The 18,224-nt window shown below is 43.5% G+C and overlaps 2 long non-coding RNA genes across 9 annotated transcripts in view, besides 10 other annotated features; one reads left to right on the plus strand and one right to left on the minus strand.

Moving 5' to 3' along the window:
* Positions 1-13,397, minus strand: part of LOC105377582 (uncharacterized) — a 30,984-nt gene extending 17,587 nt beyond the window's left edge. For all 8 annotated transcript variants that reach the window (XR_939551.3, XR_939552.3, XR_939548.3 and 5 more), the window contains exon 1: positions 13,334-13,397. This is a non-coding gene — a long non-coding RNA (uncharacterized LOC105377582). The remainder of the gene's footprint in view (positions 1-13,333) is intronic.
* Positions 1,251-1,380: an enhancer, noted in NCBI's record as "active region_22195". NCBI's record gives its function as "activates an Ori minimal core promoter by ATAC-STARR-seq in GM12878 lymphoblastoid cells {active_cell/tissue: GM12878}" and the evidence as "EXISTENCE:reporter gene assay evidence [ECO:0000049][PMID:35858748]".
* Positions 1,421-1,490: an enhancer, noted in NCBI's record as "active region_22196". NCBI's record gives its function as "activates an Ori minimal core promoter by ATAC-STARR-seq in GM12878 lymphoblastoid cells {active_cell/tissue: GM12878}" and the evidence as "EXISTENCE:reporter gene assay evidence [ECO:0000049][PMID:35858748]".
* Positions 1,511-1,660: an enhancer, noted in NCBI's record as "active region_22197". NCBI's record gives its function as "activates an Ori minimal core promoter by ATAC-STARR-seq in GM12878 lymphoblastoid cells {active_cell/tissue: GM12878}" and the evidence as "EXISTENCE:reporter gene assay evidence [ECO:0000049][PMID:35858748]".
* Positions 2,611-2,660: an enhancer, noted in NCBI's record as "active region_22198". NCBI's record gives its function as "activates an Ori minimal core promoter by ATAC-STARR-seq in GM12878 lymphoblastoid cells {active_cell/tissue: GM12878}" and the evidence as "EXISTENCE:reporter gene assay evidence [ECO:0000049][PMID:35858748]".
* Positions 3,061-3,320: an enhancer, noted in NCBI's record as "active region_22199". NCBI's record gives its function as "activates an Ori minimal core promoter by ATAC-STARR-seq in GM12878 lymphoblastoid cells {active_cell/tissue: GM12878}" and the evidence as "EXISTENCE:reporter gene assay evidence [ECO:0000049][PMID:35858748]".
* Positions 3,461-3,580: an enhancer, noted in NCBI's record as "active region_22200". NCBI's record gives its function as "activates an Ori minimal core promoter by ATAC-STARR-seq in GM12878 lymphoblastoid cells {active_cell/tissue: GM12878}" and the evidence as "EXISTENCE:reporter gene assay evidence [ECO:0000049][PMID:35858748]".
* Positions 3,611-3,660: an enhancer, noted in NCBI's record as "active region_22201". NCBI's record gives its function as "activates an Ori minimal core promoter by ATAC-STARR-seq in GM12878 lymphoblastoid cells {active_cell/tissue: GM12878}" and the evidence as "EXISTENCE:reporter gene assay evidence [ECO:0000049][PMID:35858748]".
* Positions 4,171-4,260: an enhancer, noted in NCBI's record as "active region_22202". NCBI's record gives its function as "activates an Ori minimal core promoter by ATAC-STARR-seq in GM12878 lymphoblastoid cells {active_cell/tissue: GM12878}" and the evidence as "EXISTENCE:reporter gene assay evidence [ECO:0000049][PMID:35858748]".
* LOC124900825 (uncharacterized) lies at positions 7,530-16,309 on the plus strand. The gene is made up of 2 exons (XR_007058413.1): positions 7,530-7,926; positions 13,479-16,309. It is a non-coding gene; the product is annotated as an uncharacterized LOC124900825 (long non-coding RNA).
* Positions 8,108-8,247: an enhancer, noted in NCBI's record as "active region_22203". NCBI's record gives its function as "activates an Ori minimal core promoter by ATAC-STARR-seq in GM12878 lymphoblastoid cells {active_cell/tissue: GM12878}" and the evidence as "EXISTENCE:reporter gene assay evidence [ECO:0000049][PMID:35858748]".
* Positions 8,608-8,747: an enhancer, noted in NCBI's record as "active region_22204". NCBI's record gives its function as "activates an Ori minimal core promoter by ATAC-STARR-seq in GM12878 lymphoblastoid cells {active_cell/tissue: GM12878}" and the evidence as "EXISTENCE:reporter gene assay evidence [ECO:0000049][PMID:35858748]".
* Positions 16,310-18,224: the final 1,915 nt, after the last annotated feature.

Here is an 18,224-nt window from a genome sequence, read left to right on the forward strand (position 1 = left end):
GGAAAAACAGCCAGCTGCATTCTTAGATGTTATTAGAAATCAAGGCATGTATAGCTGAGGGGTGCTCAGAGACTCTCTGGTTCTGACCCTGTGTTTGCAGATAAAGAAACTAACATTCAGGAAGTTGGATGACTTGCTCAAGGTCATAAGATTGGGTAGGGCTTTTAGCTGGCTTTTGAACTCGTGGTTCCGAGCTCTTTGCAGTTGAACATATTTGTTGTTTCTCGCATCAATTAACTCTAACACATTTAATTAGATATAAAAACTGTTCCCATGGATTAAATTCTGTTTTTGAAATTGTGCGGGCAGTGCCCTGGAAAAAAAAAATCAGCAATAAAGGCCATAGCTATGTCCCCAGAGCTCAGCTGTGGCACTTGTGGGCAGCTACATAGTTTGAAGTTTGAACAAAAGTTTTCTGAAAAGGAATTTGGAGGAAAGACACTTTCTTACAGTGAACAGTTTGCAAACTGGGGAGACACTGTCTTCCTGTATAAGGAAGGTGTGCATTTCAGAGAACAAAGAGAGGGTTTGGCTTTTGTAGGTTCTAAATCAGGTCTGTTTATGCAAATAAATGATTCAAACTTGCTTAGTTCTGATTGATCAATGCAGCTGAGTTTTGATTGGTTGACACAGCTAGGCCCTGATTGGCCAAGGTGGGGGAGCTCTGATTGGTTGGTTCAGGCAAGCTCTGAAAGTCCACAGTTAAACATAGGTGTAGGTTTCCCCAGAACTCAGAGTACATCTGTGACCTCTAGCCAGCAAAGGGCCGCTTGGCTCTGTTATAAACGTAGGCCCAGTTAGCAGCTCAGGATCTATCTTGAAGGATTGGCTCTTTCAGGTGCACATTTGTTCACAAAAGCATGGTTGGCTTCTTCACACAAGGACAGGTTTCTTCACAGAGAATCAGTTACACACTCCTGAGCATATTTAACTCCCACAGCCCATTAAGTAGATGATAATATTCTTATTTTACAAATAAGGAAACTGAGACTCGGAATAAATAAATTGTTGCAGTTCACGCATTTGCACCGAGATTCAGCCCCAGGCCTGCCTTCTCCCACTCCTGTGCCCCTTCCACCCACTGCCTGGCCCCCACCCTGCTGTTTCCTGCTGGGTGTGCCGGGAGCACTGACCTGGGGCTCTGGGGACAGGACTCGGTTTTATAAAGTGCTGGGAGAAGTAGGAGAATTCAGAGGGAAATGGGATCTGATGCTTGGATTATGGGAGAAGCAAGATAAAAGGATGCTAAAGGCAGGAGAAGCAATGGGAGAATGTCTGCCTGGTGTCCCGTGGTCCCTGTGCAGCTGCTCCTCTCTATTGTTTCTGTGAAGGGATCATGCAAGGTACTTTCCAGCCACTGTTTTAGACTTTTGTTTTTGATGAGCTGGAACAGCAGCAGGTAGGTAGGTGGTGGGGGCCCTCTTTTTCACTTTTCTTTCTCTCTTTCCTTGTCGTGAGCTCAGGGGCCATAAGCCACCCGTTCAACAGCCAAAGGATGAAGCAGATCTTGGCAATGTTACCATTTCTGTAACTACTGGAGGCTTGCTGCCCTTTGACAGACTGGAGTGGAGCGCTTCAGGGGAAAAGCAGTACCCACCAACACCGTGGCATCTCTGCTCAACGCTGACCATCACGTTGAATTTCTGTTTATGTCTGTAGTAAGATAATCAGCTGGAAAGCAGATTGCTATTGAGAGGGTTTTCTGGTTTTCTTAGTAGGTCAAAAACCAAATTAGATGACCCACATCATAGGCCCGGATCAGTTTAGAAAAATCCCTCCAGTCCTTCAGTGGCATCCTTAGCAGGAGGTTCTGACTTGGAGGAAATGGACAGCCTGCATTTTCTGGAACTGAGAGGTTGCAGGAGGAAGGGAAAGAGAGGGAGATCAAGGATGACAAAATCTGGGATTTCAGTTTATCCCTTCTCTGAGGACAGAAACAGCTCTCAAGCAGGAAGAGAGAGGCTTTAGAAATACCCAGATCAGTGAGCCTGGGAACCTTGATTGTCCACTTTTCTGGGCAGAGGAAGGGGAAGTTTCTGGTCCCAGAGAATTCCAGCTCAGCACCACACCCAAAACAGTGCAAGTGGATGACAGTTAAACCCAAGGCGGGGCTGTAGGGTGCAGGGGCCTGCATGTCGCACCCTGGAGTCCTGACAGTTTCCCCGAGCCACATGAAGGGCACACAGCCATACTGAGATGCCTTGGCACACAGAGATCTCAGACGGCTTCAAACAAGCCTTAGTGTGAATCAGTCATCAAAACCAGAAAACACTTTCCGGGTCCTCAGACTCCACCGTGGTCTGCAGTGCATCACCCCAAAAGGCCAGAGGAGGCCAGTCACACCTCAGAGGGCAACAGTGCAGGAAGCGGCCCAACCCAGCCGCTTTGTTGCACAGACTGGCATGTCAATACAGGATACAAACTGGGCCTCACTGTCTGCTCTGCCATGAGTTTTCCTAAGCCACACCTCTCCTCTCTAACTAGGGTGAACAAACATCACCTGCTCTACTGGCATAATTATTAATAGTGCCCTCTTTCTCTCTCAAACACATCTCGGATTGATCTGACCTGAGTGGTTAAAAAATAAATATTATAGAATAAGATGCATGCTGTAATTCCAAGTAATAATGAGAAAAAGCTCACCTATGTGTGCAAGGTTCCTCTATGCAGGGAGCATATTTGGAAGGACACTGCTAACCACGGTTACCTGAGGATGGTTTGGGGACACGGACAGCACTGCATTATTTTTACACGCATTGCATTCTAAACCAGGCACTTGTTTCTAAAAATGAAAAAAAAGTGCCCGTCTTGGAAGATGATTTGTGATGGTCACTCTATCCAGAGCACAGGCCTCACCTTGCCATGGAGCCGGAGAGGGCAATCAAATCCGAACATCTGCACGTCTCTGCTAAGGGGCTGAGTGTTTGTTTTAAGCTGGAGTAGTTTCTATCATTGCAAACAGACTAAGTTTACCAGCTCATGCTAAACACAGTTCAGTTTGTTTTTCCTGTTACCCCAGTGGGCACAGGTTCATGAGGAAAATTAGAACAGATGCAGAGTCAACATCTGTGCCCATCTGGGGGCAGTGTGAGTGGTTTTGTGAACATGCTGTAGTTGAATTCTGACTTTTGAGAGGTTGATTACTCATTTCTTTCAGTAGACAGAAATCATAGTATTTGTTTGCTGGAGCATGAGCTGCTTTATTTCTATTTTCAGAGTTTCACTTTGGGTCCACAGTGGGGCCTATAACCAATGCTGGAGGTTCTCAGCCAAAGAGAGTGCAGCGGCGCATGGCTGTCCTGCAGATGGTGACAGGTGGGGACTCTGCCCCTTCACTCTTGGAGGTCAGGCAGGGCTAAATGGCTGCAGTCCCCTAAGCAGTCAGTCCTTTTTTTAAAAAGTAAGAACAATGGCCTGTATTTGTTAAACTTTTTTTTTTTTTTTTTTTGGTAACACAAGAAAGGATCATTGTGATGCTGAGCCTCCAGTGCCACCAGACTCAGGGTTCCGGGTAGGCAGGGTCACAGCTGGGCACCCCGTTGTGCTGCTCCAGGACTGGCCCCGTGTCCTGGCCTTGGGGTTGAGTCTCGGGGTTGGCTGCATGCGTTGGTGTGATTTCAGGGCATACACACGGAACGTGCTGCCCAGGTGCTGGGCCCAGGGAAGCCACGTGTCTCAGCCCTGAAGAGTTGTCCTGGCGTTGTGCACAACCTGGCTGGTGGCTTGGAGAGCAAACAGTACCCCCGACCCCACGGGTGTCTGCGGGCACTAGGCCCCACGTGCGGGTTCTCTGGAGTCTCCCAAGCTGAGCATCACCGGACCCAGACCCGTCACAGCCATGCTGAGCTTACCCGTGAGTGACCTTCCCGAGGAAGGCATGGGGCTTTCTGGGGCAGGAAGCAGGGGAAGAGGCTCTCAAAACAGCAGGAGATGGGAGCGCGCTGTCCCGGAACTGTTGTCCGCCTCCCTCTGCCATCCAGGTGCCCGCCACCAGGTCCCCTCTGACAGGCTCCTGATGCTTCCCGGGCCGGGTAGACCAGGGGTGCCCAGCAGCTTGGCCAGATCAGCCTGCCGTTTTTCCTCAAACGTCACCCTTGCCAGGGATGTCCCCGCCCCTGCTCCTCCCCTTCTTGGGACAGACATCCTAAGTCCAGTAATTCCGGTGCTTCCAATAAAAAACACCGCGAGTTTCTTCTCTGCCCTAAGCAGGAGCAGGGGGATTGCAGTGTGAGAGGCGTCCTCCTGCGGCCTAGGTAGGAGGATGGGTCTCCAGGAGCCTCCACGCTGACCCCTGTGGCTGGACTAATGTGTCATTTCTTGTATGTGCCTTGACATGGAGAAGGTTGGAAAGCTCTCCCCGGTACTATTTCACATGAAATGACATTGTGGACTGCAAGCTCAAAAGCACAGGCAACAAAACCGAAAACAGACAAATGGGACTTGTTAAACTAAAGAGCTTCTGCACAGCAAAAGAAATAATCAACAGAGTGAGCAGACAACCAACAGAATGGGAGATAATATTTGCAAACTATTCATCCAACAGGGAACTACTATCCAGACGATACAAGGAGCTCAAACACAACAACAAAGACAAATAATCCCCTCTTAATGTACTTTTAAAAGTATGCAAAAAAGAAAAAAAAAGGAATAGACCTTTTTCAAAAGAAGGCATACAGATGTCCTACAGGTATATGAAAAGATGCTCAACATTGCTAATCATCAGAGAAATGCAAATCCAAACCACAATGAGATAGCATCTTACCCTGCCAGAATGGCTATTATTAAAAAGACAGAAAATCACAGATGTTGGCAAGGATATAGAGAAAAAAGAACTCATTCGCTGTTGGTGGGAATATAAATTAGTGCAACCTCCATGGAAAACAGTATGGAGATTTTTCAGACTAAAAATAGAGCTACCATTTGACCCAGCAACTCCACTATTGGGTATCTATGCAAAAGGAAAACAATCAATTTATCAAAAAGATACCTTCACTCATACATTTATTGTAGCACTAGTCACAATAGTAAAGCTATAGAACCAACCTAAATGTCCATCAATGGAAGAAGAAAATCCCCTGGATAAAGAAAATGTGTTATTTACACAATAGAATACTATCTGGCCATCAAAAGAATGACTTCATGTCTTTTGCAGCAACATGGGTGAAACTGGTGGTCATTATCTTAAGTGAAGCAAGCCAGACAGAAAGTCAAACAACTCATGTTTTCATTCATAAGTGGGTGCTAAAAATTGTGTCCACATGTATGTAGAGAGTGGAATGATAGGCAATAGGTCCTCAGAAGTGTGAGGGGGCATGAGAAGGGTAGATAACAAGAAATTGCCTAATGGATGCAATGTACATTATTTGGGTGATGGGTACCCTAAAGCCCTGTCTTGGCCACTAGGCAATCTATGCATGTAACAAAATGGCACTTGTACACCATACATTTATACACATTTCTTTAAAAAGAAATACATCCCCCAAAAAATGAGATTGTGTCAAGCGTTACTCTGTAGGTTAGGGCGTCAGTAGAAGCAATATTATACCTAAACCTAATAGCATTCTGATTCACATGTTCATGACTTCATGGCAGCAGGTAGACCTCAGACCCTCCTCCAGCCGTGTCAGATAGACACCCACACAGGTAAGAATAAGGGAAGAACCAGGGTCTGTAGAAACTGGCAGTTGGGGAACCTTTACAATTGTTGACTATTCCCCAATACTCTGCATTGCTTTTTGCAGGAGGAAGATGTACGTTAGTCAAGTCACCTAAAGTTGAGTATTGGGAGAAGGAAAGGGGAATTAACATTTATGAAGAACCAAAAAATAGACGCTATGAGTGTTCTGTATGCTAGACTCTCAATTTAGTCTTTCAGATATTCTGTGATGTCCCATGTTTCATCAAATCTGAGACATGTTCCCCACCAACCCACAATTTGCCGTCTATGAAATTGAGGACATCTTAAAATCAGCAGCCCCCTACAATCAATATTTGTCAACTAACTGTCATGAAACAGCTTGACTGCCCAGAAATGCTAACATGATTATAAAAATGATTATATAATTAAGAATCTAATTAAGTCCAAAAGAGACTTTAAGCAAAGTTAAAATAAAAATTCTAAGTAATAAGAAACCATTGTATTATAATTTAATTGGCACTGGTACACAAGCAAGTAAAAGAAATGCAAATCCAAATTAAAAATCCAAGTAAAAGTGCCAGCAGCAAAACTTACGGTGACTAGATAGAAAGTCCTAGCAGTAATTACACAACACACTTTTAGGCCGTAGGAACCAAACGGCTGTGAGGAGGAGGCCAGGGAAAGGATGAACCAGATGTGCTCAGCAACATTTCTGAAGGGGGAGACAAAAGTTGGCTGATTTTCCATCATTGTTCTGCCAGTTTAAGAGCCGGAACCAGAAGTTTTGGTTTCTCAATGCATTATTTTAAAAATGCTGCATCACCAATGTTTTTGATAACAATTTTAGGAAAATTAGTCAAAACTTAGAATTAAGGCAGAGGGAGGGCAGCACCTCCTCTCAATGTTGGATAGACCACTTATTGCCTAATGGAGTGCACTGCTTTTGTTTAATTGTTTGTTTGTTTGTTTATGAGACGGATCCTTGCTCTGTTGCCCAGACTGGAGGGCAGCGGTGCGATCTCGGCTCATTGCAACCTCCGCCTCCCAGGTTTAAGCAGTTCTCCTGTCTCAGGCTCCCAAGTAGCTGGGATTACAGGCACACGCCACCACGCCTGGCTAATTTTTGTATGTTTAGTAGAGACGGGGTTTCACCATGTTGGCCAGGCTGATCCTGAACTTCTGACCTCAGGTGATCCGCCCACCTCAGCCTCCCAAAGTGCTCTGGGAGTCTTATGAGTCTTATGATTCTAATGTTACATGTTTTTTAGTTATTTACATTTATGATATTAAATTGAAAGGATAAGTTTTTAAAATTTGAAAACAATATGTGGTCATTTCAGCAACTTAATACGCTGCTTTATTTTTACGTTTATTTTATATGATTTTTTAAAGTTATCTAAGTATTTGGGGAAGCTTCTCAGTCAGATACCCTTGAAAAAATCTGAATATAATAAATTTGTAAAGGAAATGTCAATATTTGAGGGGATCCCATAGCATATTTAATTAGCCCCCATAAATATTGTAAGTATACTTTTTCCATTTTTTATACTCAGGTTTCTTTTTGAATATTTTCGTTTCTGATTGGCAGACTTTCCCAAATACTAAACTAAGTGCATGTTGAGCATGCACTTTCCTAATAAATAAAGTGATAAGATTTAGAAGCTGAACTTTAAAAACTTAAGAACTAGCTTCAATAAGTTGAATATTAATTTTTAAAATCAAAATAGTCCCTGAATAATCTTTTCTACCTCAAAGAACTCCAAGAATTACAGACACCCACATTCACTTTTGGGTAGAGCAGGCAGAGGCCAGACCAGCTCATCAGCGCTGACCCTTTCAGAGCCTCAGTGGGTGAAATGAGTGCACCCTCATAATGAGAGCTGCTATGTTTGGGATCTCTCCTTGCTCCTCCATTCGTGATCTTACTTTCCTTTTAGTCCTAAAGATTCAAACACGTGGTGTCAGTGTTGCTCTGAAGCACAGACCGATTCCCAGGGTCAGGCTATAAATTCTTTAACTAAATCCACTGACAAATCACCCAGAAAAGCTTTTAATATGTTTGCAGGCTTAGCCACAGGAGCAAAGCAAATTGTTCTTGAGATCTTCAAAGCAGGCGTGCAGGTTTCACCAGTTCTTCCTCTTGCCCTGGGCAGGTCTGCAAGTCTGCTGGAACCTGGAACACAGCAGCCCTCCTGCCCAGCCACCCCATTCCTGAGCTTCCTCTCCATGCAAGAGTCCACTTGTAAAACAAACAACGGGCTGGGAGTTGTGTCTCCCCTTCACCACCAGTAAGTACTTCATGCAGGTAGAAAAGCCAGAGGAGGAAAAGGTATTGAAACACAGTAGAAAAAACAAATGAACAAATGGAAATAATGAGTTGAACTCAGAGGCTCCCAGCTTCAGGAATCATTTCTGACACTTGGCATTTGCCTCCTGCAGCAGAAGCGCGTCTTCGTTGTTTCTCCCTGTTCAATTCTTCCACTTCTCGATCCTCAAACTCATGCAGGGATTTGAATGTGTTGGGTGGTTGGTTTCGTTGCTTATTTTAATTTTTTAAAACCATAACTGCCTTGTGCTTAGGAGCCTGATTATTTTTCAGCTGGATGTACAAATCTCGGCCTCTCCCCGGCCTCTCGTCTTTCTGATCTTCTACCCTCCACCGCATGGGAGGGCACAGGTTCCCTTGTGTCCCAGCCCTGCTGCAGCAGGTGGTTAGACAAAACCGCATTGTCATTTATAAACGCAGAAATCAAGCTCTCTTTCTCTCCCCACCGTTTATCCACCCACCCCCTTTTTCTGTTCTCTCTCCTTTCTCTCTGTTCCTTTTCTGTAATGTCAAATCTATTCCACTAAGGGGTTGCTCTTTGACTAATTCTGCCACTTAATTTTCTAACATTCATTCTTGATTCTCAAGGAGGAAACTCCCATTTTGAGTGACATTTCTCGTGACTGAATGAATGTGGACCCGTTTCTCAATACGTCAAAGGAAAGGGTATTCACAACCTAGCCTTGCTCTCAGGAGGTGGAGCGGGTTTTTTCACTCCCTAGAGGAATGAAGAGTTGAGCCTGGAATGTACACCACTGTCCAGCAAACCAGAAGGCCTCTGCATTCTGCAGGTTCCGCTCTCTGGTCTGGAAAGATCTCCCAGCAGGTGGAGGCCATTGTCCTTGGCCTGACCCAGTCCCTGCTGAAGCAGTTAGAGGGCGAGGCCCAGACCTCCTCCAGACTCGGGACAATCAGTGCCTGGGTTCAGACCCTGGGCACAGCTGGGCCTACTCCAGAAGGGTGTGGAAGGAGGAGAGGTGCAGACAGGATTTGTCTAAGGCAGCACCCTTAGCACTTTGCCTCCATCCTTGATCCAGCCGTCTGGCCTGGCTTTCTTCTCAATTTCTTTGGCCCTCAGTTTTCTGTTGTGTCTGCACCAGCATTGCTGACTTTGGCATTACCGAACCTTTAGCCTTTGGGCCAGCATGCTCTGATTTTGGAATCTGACTTCTCTGCCCTGGACCCTGGGGTTGACAGGTGTTTAATGAGGTGCACTCTGTTTCGTAATCTGCTTTTTTCTTTTGATCATTATTCTGAACATTTCCTCTTGGTTGTTTACTGGACTTCTAAATATTATTTTGATGGTTGTGTTGTAATGTATCATGAGATCTCCCCTAATATATTTAACTAAATACCTTGTAGTTGGACAATTATGCTATTTCCAAATTTTCACTCTACCGAATAATGCCTTGGTAAGTATTAGTGTAGTGAAATCTTCACAGTTATTTTTTAAAACACTTTAAAATTACGCATATTGTAAACAAACATGTTCTTGTTGAAAACTTCCTTAAAACCGGTAAGACTAAAGTCCTCATTAACCAGCTTCAATCGAGTTGTTATAGCCATCATAGAGACAGCCACTATTATTGGTTAATGCGTACCCTTTTTTGAAATGTACGTACGTATATTTTCAGATACCTAAGTGAGATATAGACAGATAGATATGCTGAATCGTTTTTATTTGTGAGGCCGAGTGGCGCACAGACGTTAACATGCTGTCCATTCACTTGGCAGTATGCCTTGGAGACATTTCCACGTCAACACATGAAGATCTGCAACTGCTGTGTGGGATTCCATAATAAGGATAAGCCGACGTTTATTGAGTTATTTTCCTATCCCTGGATATTTGGGTTGTGTTTAGCTTTTGCTAAGACAGACAATGCTGCATTCAATCTTCACCTTGTGCACATGTGCAGATAGATGTCTCTCTGGGGAGATTCAGAACGTGGAATTGTTAGGTCGTAGAGGAGAAACATTTTGCCCACCAAAGTAGCTGGAAAATAACGCTCTCACTGCAGAGCAGCTGAGGGCACGTGTGCCACCACAACCTCGCCCACGCTTTATATGATCAAACTTTTGATTTTTGCCACTTTGATTAAAAATGGAACCTTGTGTTTTATTTGCATTTCCTTGATTTCTAGTGAGGTTAAGCATCTTTTCAAGTATATTGGTCATACATCCTTTTTTCCTTTTTTTTTTTTTTTTGAGACAGAGTCTCGCGCTGTCGCCCAGACTGGAGTACAGTGGCACGATCTGAGCTCACTGCAACCTCCACCTTCCAGGTTCAAGCGATTCTCTTGCCTCAGCCTCCTGAGTAGCTGGGATTACAGGTGTGCACCACCACACCCGGATAATTTTTGTATTTTTACTAGAGACGGGGTTTTGCCATGTTAGCCAGACTGATCTCAAACTCCTGACCTCAGGTGATCTGCCAGCCTCGGCCTCCCAAAGTGCTGGGATTACAGGCATGAGCCACTGGGCCCAGCCGGGTCATACATTCTTAATCACCTCAGATTACATGCCTGAAAGTTGGGTTGCTGGGTCAAAGGACATGCAATATATACACAGTAGTCTCCCCTCACCTGCTGTAGGTACATTCCAAGCTCCCCAGTGGATGCTGAAACCACGCATTTCAGAACCTTCTGGAAACTGTCTTTTCCTATTGCATACATACTTATGATCAAGTTTAACGTATAAATTAGGCGCAGTAGAAGATTAACAACAATAACTAATAAAATAGAACAATTGTAGCAATATACTCTGATAAAAGTTGTGTGAGTAGGGTTTTTCTCTCTCTCTCTGTCAAAATATCTTACTGTATGTAATATTTTTGGACCATAGTTGAACACAGTTATAATATTTTGGACAGCATGGTTTCAGGTAACTGAAAAGCAAAGCGGCGAAGAAGGGAGAACTACTGTATGTTTTTTACTGTGTGTGTGTGTGTGTGTGTGTGTGCACGCACGCCTACCTAGCCCTACCTATCTCATCTATCTAATCTATTGCTTTTAAGGTGGTATTTTTTCCAAGGTGTCTTTCTATAATAATTAAGCCAATTTATACTCTCACTACAGCATATATAAATGTTTTCTTATACTGTCTACAGAAGGGTTTTACTTTTGTTTTTTGTAGGGCAGATAAATAAATATAGTATCTTATTGATTTTACATTTCTTTCATTGAGAATAAGACTGGCTACTTTCATATCGTTTTTGACAGTTCATTTCTTTTCTTTTGATTAACAGCTTATTTTTTATTTCTACTAATTCTGTGTGTGGTTGTTCACCTTTATTTTTGTTCTTACCAATCTAAAAACTCTCACACAGGTTAAGAATGTCAGCCTACATCTGAGTGTCAATAAGGTGCAGATAGTCAAGGAATAATGCCTCACAGTGTAGTGACATGCTGCCACAGAAGAGGCCCCCAGGAAAATGCAGTTTGGGAGCCCCTTAAGCAAATATAACTTCATGGGAAGATTGTCCTTCTTTGGTCTCTGATATGGTTTGGATCTGTGTCTCCACCCAGATTCATTTGAATTGTAATTCCCAACGTAGGAGATGGGGCCTGGTGGGAGATGATTGGATCATGGGGGCAGTTTCTCATGCTTTTCATGGGGGCAGTTTCTCATGCTTTACTACCATCCCCCTTGGAGCTATCGTCCTGATAGTGAGTTCTCACATGATCTGGTTATTTAAAAGTCTGTGGCACCTCTCTGCTCTCTTGGTCCTGCTCCTGCCATGGAAGACACCTGCTCCCGCTTTGCTGTCCACCATGATTGTGTGTTTCCTAAGGCCTCCCCCAGAAGCAGAAGCTGCTATGCTTCCTGTACAGCCTGCAGAACCATGAGCCAATTAAACCTGTCTTAAAATACATTCCTCAGTCTCAGGCATTTCTTTCTTTATAGCAGTGCAAGAATGGACTAACACACTCTCCATATTGACACCTCGCTTGTAAAGCTGGCCGATGCAGCATTGCAATCAAGTGGTAGATTTTGAATGTCTGAGTGTGATTAGACTCTAGTTGTTTGTTGTTAAATGATTGGTCTGAGTGTGATTAGACTCTAGCTGTTTGTTGTTAAATGATTGGTGAATGATGCCATCACAGGCCAGAATGTCCAGCCAGCCTCCATAGCAGGACCATCCCCGCTTATAGGAAATGGAAAGGCTCAGAGACTCCAGAGTGGCCCAGCACTGCCCCTGCCGTCCACCAGCTGGAATCAGGGCAGTGCACCTCCCAGTCTGTGTGTGTGTATGTGTGAGTGTGTGTGTGTATGTCTGTGTGTGTGTATGTGTGTGTGTATGTGTGAGTGTGTGTACATATGTGTGAGTGTGTGTATGTGTGTGTATGTGTGTGCGTGAGTATGTGTGAGTGTGTGTGTATGTGTGAGTGTGTGTATGTATGTGTGAGTGTGTGTGTGTGTGAGAGAGTATGTGCGAGTGTGTGTGGAGGGGCGGGGGTCTTGCAGTTGGTCATAGCTGCCCTTTACTTTCTCACAGTGTGTGTATGTGTGTGTGTGAGTGTGTGTGTGTATGTGTGAGTGTGTATGTGTGTGTGGAGGGGAGGGGATCTTGCATTTGGTCATAGCTGCCCTTTACTTTCTCACAGTGTGTGTGTGTGTGTATGTGTGTGTGAATGTGTGTGTGTATGTGTGTATGTGTGAGTGTGTATGTGTGAGTGTGTGTGTGTGTGAGTGTGTGTGTGTGTGTGTGGAGGGGAGGGATCTTGCAGTTAGTCATAGCTGCCCTTCACTTTCTCAGTGTTTTTGTGTGTGTGTGTGAGTGTGTGTGTGAGTGTGAGTGTGTGAGAGTGTGTGAGAGTGTGTGTGTGGAGGGGAGGGGAGGGGTCTTGCAGTTGGTCATAGCTGCCCTTCACTTTCTCTTTTGGTCAAGAGTTCTCCCTTTCTCCTCGTTAGAGAAAGATTGCCTTTGTTTTGCCAGTTTCCTGAAAGTCTGTATTTTCCGGGTATAAGCTCACTCATTGAGAAGAAGAGAGCCTATCCTTTCACCTCTAGAACAAGAAAGCCAGTGGGTAGTAAAATACACATAATGAAAATGATGTGTGCCCTAAACTTCAGGTGAACCAGCGAGAGTGTTTTACAGCACACACTCCAACCTAGAATCATTCACACGGGTCCAAATCCCAGCTTCACTCTCATCGCTAGACATAGGGCTCAATGTTCCAAATTTTAGCTCTTCTCATCTCTAAAATGGCAATTATATTAGTACCTATGTTTAAGGCAGTTGTGAGGATTAACTGAATTTTGGTCCACCTATGGATGCTGGCACAGCAGGCATTTTATGCGTAAAGTCTCTAATCATTATTTCTCCATCTCAGAATAGAGGAAGATCTCTGTGGGTGGAGGACCCTTACCAAAGTAGTTGGAGGGGACATCTTAGGTCATACGACTCTCTTCTCAAAGACTCTTGTTATATAGGAGTCCTATTTGGTTAAAAGGACTTCTCTTGTTTGTCCTGGATGTGACATCAGGTTTAAAAAAAATCTCACTCCCGTTCAGGAGCCTGGCAACCATGCATTACCCAACAATGGTTACCGTGGCTGCAAGGAGGAAGCAGACAGCAAGCCCACAGAAGTGTTTATTGAAGAAAGGGAAGTCAATAGTCCCTGGAGTTAATGAGTGATTGTTATTTATGGAAGGAATGGTATTTGCAGATGGGAATGACTGCAAAATGCATAGAAGGACACAGCCATGCCCTTTCCACGGAAGTCACAGAGCACACCTCAACACACTGAGAAGACGTCCACGACAGAGAAAGATGACGAAGGTCTCCTTTCTTCCACATCGTAGGAGATTTTCTGCCATAAACTCAGTTTATTCTATAGTTGTTTATGTCCTCAGCATTTTGGAGACAGCTGTTCTCATGAAGTGAAGACTGGCTCAGATTGTTTGATTAATTGCAAGAATTGTGGAAACGGGAGGAAGAATTCATGAAGGATGCCTCCCTTACCTGTACAGAGTTGTTTTCATTGATAAAGGGTTGTGATCTGTAAAATGGGGATATCGACATTTGTTTCAGGAGAATGAGCTTTATTTGGGCAGATTTGGCTTTGAATTCTGTTTCTACCTCTTAGAGATTGTGTGACAGTTGTTATTTAATATCTGAGTCTCAAATTTCTCATCTGTAAACTGAATATAACACTTATACTGAATGTCATACTTATATTACAAGATGTCCATGTTATTCTAATCATGTCTTTTTAGTTTCTGTGTTTTCTGATGTTTTGGCTTCTGGGGTCTTGCTGATCCTGGAGAGACTCCCCCTCCCAGGACTGGTCAGTTCCTAGCAGTAGTAAGGGACTCACCTACAAGTGTGCCTTTTGTATGCAAGCCACCAATCCAAAGCCCATGCCCCCACTGACCCCCTTTATCTAGCTTTCACTTGCAGAGCCACTATCCCCCTGCCCTAATCACCCCAGGGACAGATATTAAACAACTAGAAATAGCCACGATGCCCTAGAGCCCAGTGAAATTATTTAAAATGGGCAATACTACACCTGCCTGCCTGTCCTACATTTCCCCCTCACAACCCATAATGAAGTCTCTTGCCCACATTTTCTTCTCATTCCCTCTGCCTCCTGACCGATCCTGGTGCTTCCCCACGTGGCCCTGCATGGCATGGTGTGACCTCTGCTCTTGAATTGTGAGTAACACACGCTGTACGTAATGGCAGTCATCTCCTGACCCATTTCCTCACCATACCTGAATAATAATAAAACCTATTGTCTCAGCCTATTTGGGCTGCTATAACAAAACACTATAGACTGAGTGGCTTCAACAGTAAATATTTATTTCTCACACTTCTGGAGGTGGGGGAGTTCAAGGTCAAGGCACTGAAAGGCTCAGTGTCTGATGAGAACCCGCTTCCTGGCTCATGGACATCCAGCTTTTCTCTGTGGCTGAAAGAAGCCGAAGCACTCTCTGGGGTCTCTTTTATAATGGCACTAATCCATTCACAGGTCCTCCACCCTCGTGACATAGGTGGAGCCCCCATGAATAGCCTCACCTCCAAAAGTCATCACATTGAGGGTTAGGATTGTGATACATGCACTTGGAGGAGGCACACACATTCAGTCCACAACACTCATGATGTAAAAACACATGCCCCAATCTCTGGAACCTGTGAATGTTACCTTGTATGGCAAAAGGGACTTCACGGGTGTGAAAAAGACATGAATCTGTAGATGGGAGATTATCTTGGGCTAGCCAGGCGGGCCTGGTGTGATCATGAGGATCCTTAGAAGGGGGAGGCAGGAGATCAGCATGAGTAGCAGAGGAGGGTGAGGCCACGAGCCAAGGAATGCTGACAGCTTCTAGAAGCTGGAAGAGGCGAGGAATGAATTCTCCCCTGGAACTTTCAGAAGGAATCAACACTGCCAACACCCTAATGGTAGCCCTGTAAGGCCTATTTCTGACACTCTGACCTCCAGAACTGTAAGATAATCAATGTGTGTTGTTTTGAGCCACTAAATGTGTGATCATCTCTTACAGCAACAATAGGGAACTAATATAAGTTTCAACAAATCATGATTATTTTCACTGTCAAGTACAATAATATTCAGAATGTGGAAACACTTTTGAAAAGTTAAAGTGTCATGTGAAGATTATTATTATCAAAGCTGTTATTTGTTCTGCTTCCATTTGATTCAAGTCCACTGCTTCCAAACTTTGTATTTCAATATTTTATTATTGTATCCATGAATGCCAAAGCTACACTTGCATTCTTTTTACCATTTCCAAGAAGACGTATGTCTTAAGGGACAGTTGACTACAGTCCTTGCCCCATAGGGATGTAGATCACTGGCCCCCTATCACTCATGGGTCTGTGTCACATAAGAGACCCAACTACTTGATCTTGACTCTTGATTGAAGATTGAATAGGATAATAAGAAGCGAGAGGAAAATGAGGTACCCAACAGCCAGTGGCAGAGACTGCAAGGAGTCTCCTAGTATCTATTTTCCCCGTAGTCTATGAAGATTTTTTACCTGGGCACATGGCCACTCAAATGTGGACTACATTACTCAGACTGCCTTCCATGTCAGTGTGGTCACTTGACTAAGTTCCATGAAATGGAAAGAGAATTGATAAATGCAACTTCAAGGAAATGTCCTTAAAGAGAAATGCTGTGTCCTGCTCCAGTTCTTACCTCATTCCTGCTGGCCTGATTGCTGATGTTGACAGTTGACCCCACCCACAACATGGAATTCAAATGTCAAAGATGGCAAAGCAACAAAATAGAAGGATTTGGTTCCTGAAAATTGTGGAGTCCACATACCAACAGTTCTGAATTGTCCATGGTTATGTGAAAATAAACATCTATCTTGCCTGAGTAGCTGTTTTTACTCATATGGTGGTGAGAAAGAACCAGTCATTTGCAGTCAAACCAAACTCTTACTACTACAAGACTTAGTACAGGAGTTCTCATGCAGGATAACTACTATTACAGATCCCTAGTAAAATAGAACTCTGGGAGAAAACATATAACATCTTTATCAAAAAGAGAGAAAGAGCATAAAAGAAATTTAATTGCAGTATAAATCAAAGTATGATTTTCAAATGTTAAGATGAGGATACATAAATTGAAGTCAATGATTATAAGAATGAGACTTTATTAGTAGCTGGAAAATTCAAGTGGATAAGAATACATAAACCTAGAGGGAAAATTCAGACTGGGGAATACTGAGAAAAAGCCTTGAGGATAGACCCGGGAGAGAAATATGTGATTACAGCCCTACAATGTCTTCTATGAAACCACTGAAGCCAGAAGGGTTTTGGAATTTAGATTTTTTCCAATTTCTAGAAATTATATTGCATGTTATATACATTACATACTGTGTATACTATATAACATCCCAAGCAGGATGTAGGATAGATCCTGAAATCAAACATTTTAGCTTTTCAGCAGCAAAACATAGAGTCACACTAATATTTTTATGGCTAAAAATAGCTTCGCATAAGTAAAGGGTATGCTTTTCCATCAAATATGTTTGTAGGAAATTTATTTTTTAAAATAACAACAAAATAAAAACAAAAAACAAAATATTTGAGATAATGGATTATGAGCCTGTATTAGGATTTCCAGCAGAAGAAAAAAGATGCACATACGGGAAAGGTAATGATGAAGGAAGTAAGGGGAAATTATACCTGTTTGAAGAAAAGCTTGTTTGAAAGAGTTTAATACGTGGCCGGGCGCGGTGGCTCATGCCCGTAATCCCAGCACTTTGGGAGGCTCAGGTGGGCGGATCACAAGGTCAGGAGATCAAGACCATCCTGGCTAACACGGTGAAACCCCTTCTCTACTAAAAATACAAAAAATTAGTCAGGTGTGGTGGCAGGGGCCTGTAGTCTCAGCTACTCTGGAGACTGAGGCAGGAGAATCACTTGAACCCAGGAGGCAGAGCTTGCAGTGAGCTGAGATCACGCCACTGCACTCCAGCCTGGGTGACAGAGAGAGACTCCCTCTCAAAAAAAAAAAAAAGAAAAGAAAAGAAAGGAAAACGTTTAATATGTTCCATGCTGGAGTGATCATATCCTAGATCATACCCAGCTTTTAAAAATTCTTAATTACAAGGACAAATTTTTTTTAAAGAAAACTTCTTGACCTTTTGAACAAGTTGCGTACAAAGGGAAAAATTAGCTGACATTTGACTTCTTTTCTGCAACTCTAAGAATCAGAGGGAGTACTAGGAAACATTATAGAATACTGAAAGAAAAGGACTACAATCTAAGAATCTTATGTGTAGCCAAGTTATCATTCTCTGTGACAGTGAAATAAAGGTATTTGCAGATATGCAAGGATTCAGGGACTACAGCACATAGGCATAGAACCTAGGGATGTAACTGGGAAATGACTTGACTAAATAAATCAATTTACCAAGACATCCACTTATGAACAGAATGAAGCAACAGGACCCAGATTTACCCTTCTGCCTGAAACTGCTAAAAAAAAAAAAAAAAAAAGAAAAACTAGACAAAATGTATACGACAATGGTTTTCAGATATTTAATATCAAGCATCACAGCCTAGTGTTCCCTGAGAGAGTTGAGTCATATGATTCACCCAACTTAGTGCCAGGAGAGAGTATCCAAGGCATAACACAGGGAGGGGAATCAGCAGTTTCCATAAGTTAAGCAGACAGTTTGGGGATTGGAGGAGACCAAGACAGAGTTGGCAGGACAGAGTACTAGACAGGAGAGAGCTACACAAAGAGCACCAGAGATCTGCAGAGGGTCACCCTGGAGACT

This window comes from Homo sapiens, chromosome 4 (assembly GCF_000001405.40).
Source record: "Homo sapiens chromosome 4, GRCh38.p14 Primary Assembly".
NCBI classification, from domain to species: Eukaryota; Metazoa; Chordata; class Mammalia; order Primates; family Hominidae; genus Homo; species Homo sapiens.